Genomic DNA, 11,629 nt, shown 5'->3' with positions numbered 1-11,629 from the left:
AATTGACTATTACATGAAAGTGAAAATTAAATAGAAATCTGAAAGCTCTACCACAGTTACCTGATAGTAAGTGCCAACTTTTTCCACTTTAGAACAGTAGGGCCTTAAAAATCCTAACACGTGAATTCTATGGTATTTTCCAGTGATAGTCAGTAATTTATTACATACCCACTGTTTGCAAATGTTTATTGTATAATACATTTCAATATTTTCATCTTGGATGAGCAAACAAAAGTCTCAGAGAGCCATTTTTTTTCATAGTCACACAGCTTTTCTTTAATGAGAAAACTAAGACAAGAATTTAAATCTTTTAACTTCCAACTCATTTGTCTTGCATCTCTGTTGTTCTATAGGTATTTCTCTAGCACCTTGTTGCTCAAAGCTAGTCTGCAGCCCTGACGTATCATGTCAGCTAGAGCTCGTTAGAACATCCTGACCTACTGAGTCAGAATCTTCATTTTGACCTGTGTTGTGCTGAACTTCTGTTGACTTCAATACAGGTGGCACCACGTTCAAGAGGCCCAGGAAGAGACTTGAAGCCAGTGAATGAGACACAGGATTTATTAAGGGGACTTACATACAGGATGGTCCAGTTGTGGCAGGCTGGACAGGATAAAGAATCACTACTGTTTGTGAAAAGCAAGCAGTTTATACAGCACTTTCACATAGCACTCTCCCTCTAGCAACCTCCACCTGGCAACATTCATTTAACCCAAAGCAAATGACCTTGATCTCCTGTATGGCCTGAATTCCACAGGATGAGCCAGGAGTTCAGATGTTCGTCAAAGATAAGGAATGAATCTCTGGATTGGCCACTCCTGGATTCCTTAGTTTGGAACTCTGAACACAAATAAGTGAAGTTATTGGTTTCAGTTGTGTCTGCCATGCAACATGATCTCCAAGTGTTTGGCAAGCTTGACAGGCATTGATACATGTTGTGCTAGGAGACTGGAAGTCTAAAACTTAATTTCAATATAGGAGGAAAGAGCTATTAACTATTATAACTATTAAATCATTGAACTATTAAGTAAGCCAACAAAGAATAATTCATTGCTATTAATTATTGGCATATGAATAGGTCGAAGTTTTAGCTTTGTCTGCTCATGAGCAATATTTATATGACAACAAAATAACTAAGGATTGAGAATATAACACAAGATATTTTTACATAATACTGAATAATCCGTTTGGGTTAATATTATTGTCTGAATTAAATATTTATCCTGTTGGCATATATATAAAGTTTATCATTTGAATAACCTATTACTGGATGAATATATCATTTGCACCTAAATTGTTAGGTCTGACCATCACTGCCTTTCTGGTGCGTAGGCATGGTAGATGCCATTATCCAAATTCTACAGGTGAGGACAATGAGCCAGAGTTTAAGTAATTACCCAATATAGTGTGATGTATTTGTTGCCCCTTTTCATTTGCCCATGATAGAAACCCAACTCAAACCAGCATAAGCATAACAGAAAATTCTGAAATGTTTGAACCTAGGAGCTGTAGATCTCAAACAAACTGGCTAAATATGGCAGATATAGAACTGCTCAGCTCCAGATGTATCTTATCAGCTTAACATCCTCAGTGGAAAAAGGAGACTTTCTCTTTCCTCAGAACTCTGGCAGAAAATCCTTGGGAGTACTCACTCTCACTGGCTTATTTTGAGTTTGTGGTCAGAGGGGTAGGATAAGCAGATTTGATAGGGCTGGATCATATGTCCAACCACTCGTGTGCCCAAGGAAAGAAGATTAAATAAAAGACAGGATTCAGCCCCTACAAAGTACAAAAAAGATATTGTCTCTGGAAAGAAGGACTCTTGCTTTAGAAGGGTGAAAAAATGGTTTGAACTAAGTTAAGATCGTAAACAGATATTTTGATTTCTCTTTTCTTTTGATTACTCTTTACTGAAGCATTGAAGCAGTAGATTTCATTTGGTTGTGTTGATGGGCTGCATTCATGTCAAAATCACCTGGAGGAGAATGGATGTGTACACTCACATGCATGAAGCCCTGCATGGATGGAATAAAGAATCTTGGATGGGAGTGGGTGAGACAATAAAAGGGTAGAGTCTAGAGTTTTAAAAGATACCTCTCTGTATTTAGGCATTTGAATAGCAGCAGTACATGATTAGTAAATGTAAAGCTTCTTGGTTTAAATTATATTATCTTTCATTTTAAATAAAAAAATGTGTATCACATTCCTTATTTATGTAACCGTACCTGTGAAAAGCTCATCCATTCAGATGAAGAATTCGTGTTAAGATAGCAGGCAGCAGGTCAGCAGGTGGGGACTTATGCTGGAAGAAATAAACAGCCACCAAGTATTTGTTTTGTAAAACCTTGCAGACAACACAGCATCATGCAATACCCCCATGTAACAACCTGCATATGTATCCTCTTTATGTAAAATAAAAGTCGAAATTATTTAAAAAGCTCAAATCAATTGTTTATTGCATTTTTAATGCTCCTGGTATGTATGATGATCAACATTAATAAGTAAAATGAGAACTGTCGATGTTGAGGGTATCAATTACTAAGGTCTCTCTAGCCACATTTATGAGAATGAAGGAGAGAAAAATATCAGTCAATGCTGTCCTGCTGAAGTAATATTTTCGCTGCACACATCTGAGGGTTAGGCCATCATAAGTCTTAAAGTCCTTAGGAAAAGATACCAATTTCCTCAACCCTTCATTAAACATGTATTAAAGTATCCTTTATCTCTTTTTTAATAGTCTCTAAATGCCAAAATATTTTTAAATTTTGGATTTTTTGTAACATGTTTTATTTAAATCTTTTTTCTGATCTCTACAGGTAATAGGTAATGATCTTATCTTAATCAACTGTTAATTTTTTTCAATGTAACATAATTCACAAGAACTCTAGTTCTTTGTTAATGACTATGTGTATAATAAAAGAAATGTTGCTTAGCCTCATCTTTTAATCCCCTTGCCCAGTCTATTATCTGCCTTTCTATAACCTTTCCTTTTTTCTACAAAGTGCTTGACAAGATATCAATCTCTAATCTCTTAGTTCATAGAAAAATCCTCTAAAGTCTTTCCAACCTGAGTTTCTTTTTAAACTCAGCACTGAAATCCTCTCCTGTGTAGTACAAATCTTTCTTCTTCTGAAAATCACTTCAAAAGGTGTTTCATGTTTTTAAAAAGCTAGTAAACCTCATCATACTTAGATGCCATCTTGTTCAAAGCTTTTAATACTTTGTTTGAGGCATGTTACTAAAGTGCTAGGGTAAGACTTACCACATGTAAAGATATTTACAGCATGAGTGGGCTGTAAAATCTAATCACCTTGGACAGCACAGACAGAATGTGAAAAGGATACTAAAATTAAGATACCTTCTTTCTATTCCTTGTCTAAAGCTATCTTCGACTTCACACTTTTTGCAAATCAAAGCCAACCATTATAATAAAGTCACAAAGAAATAAGTCCTTTTTGTCAATTGCCTAATAAAAATGGAAAGACAATTTAGTCAATGCCCCTCAAACCAAGCTGTCTGTGGTTTCATTTTTAATATTAGCAACAAAAACACTATAAAAAAGAAATCAAAATCCAAAATCCTACACTTAATCTTCCACTGCTAAATTTAAGAAGCTTTGTGTGGCATGGACATGAAATATGCCTATGTATTCATAAGGTATTTTAAGCATAAACGCAAGCCATCTGCCCATCTTCGTGTCTCCCCACTCTTCATGCTATTTTCCTTCTTACCCTTACTTAGTATCTCTTCTTTTTAGTTTTAAAGCAATAAACAGGTTTAAGAAAAAATACATACATGATCTCATTTGTTACCTAAAACTGTAGGTATATATTTATGTTTGTAAAAATTCTATTTTTGTATACATACCAGTATATTAACATGGCTACATAGAAAAAGGGCTGAAAAATACCAAGTTATTAAAAATAGTTACCACAGAAGGAGTAGAATGAGTTGAGGTTGATAACAATGTATGAAGACAGAATTCCATAGACACATGTTTTATTCTTCACGTTACAGTAAAAACATACCTATGTTTAACTTGTGGAAATGTTTTACAAAATTATAGCCACTTTCAAACTATTGCTTGGTAGAGAATTTTGAGTCAAAGGTGAAATCCCAGTTCCTTGATCATTGACATTCTTACCCTTTGAGTCTAAGTGAGCAGAGGTGAGTTTCAGTAAGATAGAAGAACAAGTAACATTAAATGTAGAGAAGTTGAGGACATTAAAGAAATGAGCCATTGCTGTGGTTATAAGAGTTGATTGGTGACTTTCAAGAAAATATTTCAGCAAGAGTGGAAATAAGAAATTGGAGTAAGAGAAGGTTAAAGAACTTAAATTTGTTCAGCTGAGTGTGAACTATCTTTTCAAAACATTAATACTTCAGGGAATGAGAGAAACAGATTCAGAGCTTAAAGGAATAATATGGAAGGACATATTTTTAATGTAGGAGGGAAGACTTTATCATGTTGAGGCCAGAGGAGAGGAAGAATATAGTGGAAATCTCATGAAAATACAAGAAGTTTGGTATTTGATGTTACAAACCTAAGCAGGAAGCCTTGAAGAGACAGGGAAAAAGTTTAAAAACTTTAAAAAGATGCAATAATGGCTAATGCTATTTAAAAGATGCAATGATGGCTAATTCTCTTGAAAGATAAAATTTTCATGCAGTGAAAATAAATTTGACCAAGTTAACAGTGGCTTTTCTACAGAAAAAAAGAATTACAGCATTTTTTTAACCTAAAAGAATTCCATTAACAAAAAAGAGTCACAATCATGATTTTTTACTTAAGAACTTCATTTGTGTTTACCTGAGTAACCGCACAGCAATGATTAGACAATCTAACAAATCCTTATAACCTAGTTAACTTCTCAGTTCTTCCTAGCATGTGATGTTGAAATCTCACAGGGAGAACTGTGCTACTTTTTAATAAAAACTATCTGGACAGCAGTTAAGTGGAGCATTAACCTGTTTTGGAGAAAAATAAATCTGCTGACTCTTGCATGTCTCTGGAAATCAAATGACTGGAAGAAAAATATAAGTGACACTTCTAAATGTACAGAATAAAGAAAGAGAAATTAAAGACCCAAGTAGATACACTCATGTAAAATTGTATAGTCATTCCTCAGTATCTGTAGGGGATTGGTTCCAGGAATCCCCAAGGGTGACAGAATCCACGGATGCAAGTCCCTTATGTAAGGTGGTGCACTATTTGCATATAATGTATGTACATCCTCCTGTATACTTGAAATCATCTCTAGATTATTTATAATATCTAATATAATGTAAATGCTATGGAAATTGTCATACTGTATTGAAGAGTGAATAATGACATGAAAAAAGAAATCTGTACGTGCTCAGTACAGACACAAAGATTCACTTTTTTTCAAATATTTTTGACTTATGTTTGATTGAATCCACAGATGTGGAACCCATTGATATGAAGGGCCAACTGTATATATGAATTTACAGAGAGCCTCCAACATGCAAGGGACTATATTGGGTATTGGGATAAATTTTAAAAGTTTAGGCATTTGAGAAACTTTAACATGCTTTAAATATATTCAGAATTATTTAAACATATTCAGAATTAGTATAAGTTTAAATTATTACATTTAAACTTTTTAAATCTTCCATGTAATGAATAAGTTCTATATAATCCTGCTGGAAAAATTTTACGTGATCACTAAATAAATTTTGGAAAATACAGAAAGGAATTAAATAGAGAATGAAAATCACCTTTAATCCCTCTACTGAGAAACGGCCACTATTAATATTTTGGTGTTTTTACTTACAGTAATTTTTTCCCCATGCATTGCTATTATTACATGGCAAATAACCTATTATCTCCATTGGATGAAGTCCTACGAGTGGAGTTACTGGATGGGAGTGTATAGACACTTTTTTTTTTTCATATTTTATAAGCACTTTTTTTTTATTACACTTTAAGTTTTAGGGTACATGTGCACATTGTGCATGCAGGTTAGTTACATATGTATACATGTGCCGTGCTGGTGCGCTGCACCCACTAACTCGTCATCTAGCATTAGGTATATCTCCCAATGCTATCCCTCCCCCCTCCCCCCACCACACCACAGTCCCCAGAGTGTGATATTCCCCTTCCTGTGTCCATGTGATCTCATTGTTCAATTCCCACCTATGAGTGAGAATATGCGGTGTTTGGTTTTTTGTTCTTGCAATAGTTTACTGAGAATGATGGTTTCCAATTTCATCCATGTCCCTACAAAGGACATGAACTCATCATTTTTTATGGCTGCATAGTATTCCATGGTGTATATGTGCCACATTTTCTTAATCCAGTCTATGATTGTTGGACATTTGGGTTGGTTCCAAGTCTTTGCTATTGTGAATAATGCCGCAATAAACATACATGTGCATGTGTCTTTATAGCAGCATGATTTATAGTCATTTGGGTATATATACCCAGTAATGGGATGGCTGGGTCAAATGGTATTTCTAGTTCTAGATCCCTGAGGAATCGCCACACTGACTTCCACAATGGTTGAACTAGTTTACAGTCCCACCAACAGTGTAAAAGTGTTCCTATTTCTCCACATCCTCTCCAGCACCTGTTGTTTCCTGACTTTTTAATGATTGCCATTCTAACTGGTGTGAGATGATATCTCATAGTGGTTTTGATTTGCATTTCTCTGATGGCCAGTGATGATGAGCATTTTTTCATGTGTTTTTTGGCTGCATAAATGTCTTCTTTTGAGAAGTGTCTGTTCATGTCCTTCGCCCACTTTTTGATGGGGTTGTTTGTTTTTTTCTTGTAAATTTGTTTGAGTTCATTGTAGATTCTGGATATTAGCCCTTTGTCAGATGAGTAGGTTGCGAAAATTTTCTCCCATGTTGTAGGTTGCCTGTTCACTCTGACGGTAGTTTCTTTTGCTGTGCAGAAGCTCTTTAGTTTAATTAGATCCCATTTGTCAATTTTGGCTTTTGTTGCCATTGCTTTTGGTGTTTTGGACATGAAGTCCTTGCCCACGCCTATGTCCTGAATGGTAATGCCTAGGTTTTCTTCTAGGGTTTTTATGGTTTTAGGTCTAACGTTTAAATCTTTAATCCATCTTGAATTGATTTTTGTATAAGGTGTAAGGAAGGGATCCGGTTTCAGCTTTCTACATATGGCTAGCCAGTTTTCCCAGCACCATTTATTAAGAAGGCAGAAATAAAGATGTTCTTTGAAACTGACGAGAACAAAGACACAACATACCAGAATCTCTGGGACGCATTCAAAGAAGTGTGTAGAGGGAAATTTATAGCACTAAATGCCCACAAGAGAAAGCAGGAAAGATTCAAAATTGACACCCTAACATCACAATTAAAAGAACTAGAAAAGCAAGAGCAAACACATTCAAAAGCTAGCAGAAGGCAAGAAATAACTAAAATCAGAGCAGAACTGAAGGAAATAGAGACACAAAAAACCCTTCAAAAAATCAATGAATCCAGGAGCTGGTTTTTTGAAAGGATCAACAAAATTGATAGACCGCTAGCAAGACTAATAAAGAAAAAAAGAGAGAAGAATCAAATGGACACAATAAAAAATGATAAAGGGGATATCACCACCGATCCCACAGAAATACAAACTACCATCAGAGAATACTACAAACACCTCTACACAAATAAACTAGAAAATCTAGAAGAAATGGATACATTCCTCGACACATACACTCTCCCAAGACTAAACCAGGAAGAAGTTGAATCTCTGAATAGACCAATAACAGGATCTGAAATTGTGGCAATAATCAATAGTTTACCAACCAAAAAGAGTCCAGGACCAGATGGATTCACAGCCGAATTCTACCAGAGGTACAAGGAGGAACTGGTACCATTCCTTCTGAAACTATTCCAATCAATAGAAAAAGAGGGAATCCTCCCTAACTCATTTTATGAGGCCAGCATCATTCTGATACCAAAGCCTGGCAGAGACACAACCAAAAAAGAGAATTTTAGACCAATATCCTTGATGAACATTGATGCAAAAATCCTCAATAAAATACTGGCAAACCGAATCCAGCAGCACATCAAAAAGCTTATCCACCGTGATCAAGTGGGCTTCATCCCTGGGATGCAAGGCTGGTTCAATATACGCAAATCAATAAATGTAATCCAGCATATAAACAGAGCCAAAGACAAAAACCACATGATTATCCCAATAGATGCAGAAAAAGCCTTTGACAAAATTCAACAACCCTTCATGCTAAAAACTCTTAATAAATTAGGTATTGATGGGATGTATTTCAAAATAATAAGAGCTATCTATGACAAACCCACAGCCAATATCATACTGAATGGGCAAAAACTGGAAGCATTCCCTTTGAAAAGTGGCACAAGACAGGGATGCCCTCTCTCACCGCTCCTATTCAACATAGTGTTGGAAGTTCTGGCCAGGGCAATCAGGCAGGAGAAGGAAATAAAGGGTATTCAATTAGGAAAAGAGGAAGTCAAATTGTCCCTATTTGCAGACGACATGATTGTTTACCTAGAAAACCCCATCGTATAGACACTTTTTAAAGTCTTGAAACATATTTACTAAATGGATTTCAAGAAAACTTCCATCAGCTCATGTGCACTTGCCTGGATTAAATGTGTATGTTTTTGGAAATCTTGACTAATTTACTAGATAAAAATGCAATCTCATTGTTTTTATTTTCTTTTTTATTAGTTTCAACAACCAACATTCATTAAAAACTACTATTCACAGGGAGCAATTCTAGGCCCTATTTAGATATAAATGTGAATATGAAAGTATCTGCCCTGAGGGAGCTCAAAATAGAGGAAATGTTTACATAGGAGGCAGCAAGGTGAATGTCCTGATGATGCACAGGGTGGACCCTAAGTGATGGGAGCAAAAAGGAGGAGAGTTTAACCTTTCTTGGAGGCCTGTGATTAATGATTTTATTTTTTCTCTTGGAGGATAAAGAGTACACTGAAAATTGTAAATATTCTTTCTTTTTTTTTTGTCCCAGAGACAGAGCCACGCTGTGTCGCACAGGCTGGAGTACAGTGGTGCAATCTCTGCTCACTGCACCCTCTGCCCCCCAGGTTTAAGCAATTATCCTGTCTCAGCCTCCGGAGTAGTTGGGATTACAGGTGCTCGCCACCACGCCCGGCTAATTTTTGTATTTTTAGTAGAGACGTGGTTTTCCCATGTTGGCCAGGCTGGTCTCATACTCCTGACCTCATGATTCATCCACCTCAGCCTCCCAGAGTTCTGGGATTACAGGCATGAGCCACCACGCCTGGCCGGCCATACATATTCTTTAATTTGAATACAAGTCTATAAAAGAAGGTTATCATTTTCATTTGATAGGTAAGGAAACAAGTTTAAACAGAGAATGATTTACTTTGGGTGACAGATCTAGCAAAGAACAAAGAGGAAATGAGACTGTAATGTCTATCTCCTTCAAAGACTCCACCTCTTATCTTCCTACATAGATTCTCTGCAACTCCCAAGAAGGTTATTAGATCTCTTTTGTTTTGTTGTTTGTTTAACCTCAGAATCTTGTCTTAATTCGGAGATCAATTTGATCTTCCAGTTCTGTTTCTAATCAGATGTTCAAGGCATTGAGTGAGCTCAAAGTTAGATCTCAGTGGTCCCTGGAGGCCACCAAGTTCAACCAGCTCTTGTCTTGGATGAGGAAGCTGATGCTCAGAGAAGAAAGCATCATAGTTACTTGCGGTGGAGCTGACACTAGCATTTGCATGTCCTGATTCCTAACCCATGTGGCCTTCCTCAAAACCACACTGGTTTTGGTGTTTAATTTTTGGTTCAACAATATCTGAGGTCTGAGCCCCAAATCAAATGCATTTTTTTTTAAATTGGGGGAATCAATGTTCAGTTTTGTTCAAGTTCTTTTTCTGTGTTGGTTGAAGTGTGCAGAGATATTTAGACAGTCTGCTCTGCTGCTTTCAATAAGGGAAAGGAAGGGGAGAAACTGAACATTTGAGTGCCTACTCATTATATGCCAGACACTTTGGTACTTTTTACCATGTAGTCCTCACAACAACTCTTTGATGTAGCTATTATAATCTCCAAGGCACAGATGGGAGTATAGGGGGAGTTTAAAGAACTTGCTTAAGTTAAATTCCTCAGCTTCTACGCATTAGTGGGAAGATCAGAACTAACGTCTGTCTGACACCAAAGCCTCTGCCCTTCCCACTGTATCCCGCAGATTCCAAGTCCTCATTAAAGATTGATGTAATCTTGAGTACTGGATAGATATGATTATAATATGTTATAAATACTCACTTTTGCATCATCTCTTGCTATTGCTGAATCTAATTCCCTGCCCCCACTTGTCTCAGCTCCAAGCACCTGGAATTTACTTCAGTTCCTTGGATGAGCCATTGGATCACTTGCTTGAGACTCAGTAAGAGGTAGTGCAGAAGAACAGTTAAGCAAGAGGATTCTAGAGCCAGAATGCTTGGGTTCATTTCTATACTCAACTACTTACAAGCTGTGTCATGTTGGGCAAGAAGTACAAACTCACTGTTGCTCAGCTTTCCTATCTGGAAAATGGAATCAATAGCAGTGCGTACCTCATCAGGTTGTTGTGAGGATGAAACAAGACTGTGTGTGTACAGCACTTAGCACAGGGCCTAACATATTGTAAATACTTAATAAATATTATAAATATTAGTGATTATTACTGTTGCCTCTGCAGTTGTCCACATTCCATTTGCTTGGAACAGTCTTTGCCATTACTCTTTTTGTCTAGACAATTTCTATGCATTCTTAAGTCTCAGTTTCAGTGTTGTTTCTTAGGAGAATTCTTCCCTGACCATCTAAAGTTGGGTTCGGTGCTTCTCCAACATGGTCATAGAGAACTCTGCTTTTTTCCTATCAAAAAACACAGACACTCTATCAAAACTAAATCTTGTCTATAATCATCACCAATCTGAAGTTCTTTAGAGGTAAGGATTGTGTCTTTCTTGTTCACCATTTTTTCTCCTGCACAGCACAGAGTAGGTAGGAGTGCTCTTAGGCGAGTAACAAAATTGTACTTTAGTATTTTATCAGTGAGCTTTGGGAAGTGTTTCCTTTCAGGGAAGACCAATAGTATGAAGGGCAAGAAGAAAGGTGTTTTGGCACTCCTGCCTTTCTGAAGCCACAGCTGTTAGGTTGGGCAGGGCTGCCTGATTGTGAGTCACACCGACTTTTGCTGCTAGCAAATTAATTGATAATAGCTCTGCAATTGTGACTCTCAGTTATAAGCAGTTTAGGCAGTGAAAAAATAAAGAAAATAGATGGCTCTGGAGGCACACACTGGGATGCGATAGTGCAAATTAATAATAATAATAATAATAATCACCTGGCAAGTGGACTGTAGGTAGCTGAAGCTGTCATACTGACTTCCATAGCTGGCAAGGAGATCCCTGCAGACTCATCCTGCAGAATGGAGCCCTCGGGTGTCTTTCTTCTCCATCAATGCATGGAGCCAAGTTCACTATTTGGACAGGCAGTGTATTAGTTTACTGTGACTGCTGCAACAAATTACCATAAACTTAATGGCTGAAATAATATGCATTTGTTATCTTTTAATTCTATGGACAGAAGTCCAGGATGGGTCTCACTAGGGTTAAGTTGAAGGCTGCATTCCTT

At 36.8% G+C, this 11,629-nt stretch overlaps 1 long non-coding RNA gene across 12 annotated transcripts in view; it reads right to left on the bottom strand.

Moving 5' to 3' along the window:
• The window catches only part of LOC101928721 (uncharacterized), a 60,301-nt gene that overhangs the window by 22,268 nt on the left and 26,404 nt on the right, over positions 1–11,629 (bottom strand). For 5 of the 12 annotated variants that reach the window (NR_188346.1, NR_188354.1, NR_188356.1 and 2 more), the window contains 2 exons: positions 2,226–2,302; positions 544–840 (listed from right to left, as the gene is read on the bottom strand). This is a non-coding gene — a long non-coding RNA (uncharacterized LOC101928721). Of the gene's footprint in view, positions 1–543; positions 841–2,225; positions 2,303–10,677; positions 10,868–11,339; positions 11,475–11,629 lie in introns of those variants that run through there. The other 7 variants (NR_188345.1, NR_188355.1, NR_188352.1 and 4 more) reach the window with 3 other exon arrangements.

This window comes from Homo sapiens, chromosome 4, assembly GCF_000001405.40.
Source record: "Homo sapiens chromosome 4, GRCh38.p14 Primary Assembly".
NCBI lineage: Eukaryota > Metazoa > Chordata > Mammalia > Primates > Hominidae > Homo > Homo sapiens.
The sequence above is the reverse complement of the archived record's forward strand: the minus strand, read 5'-3'. Positions and strand labels throughout refer to the sequence as shown.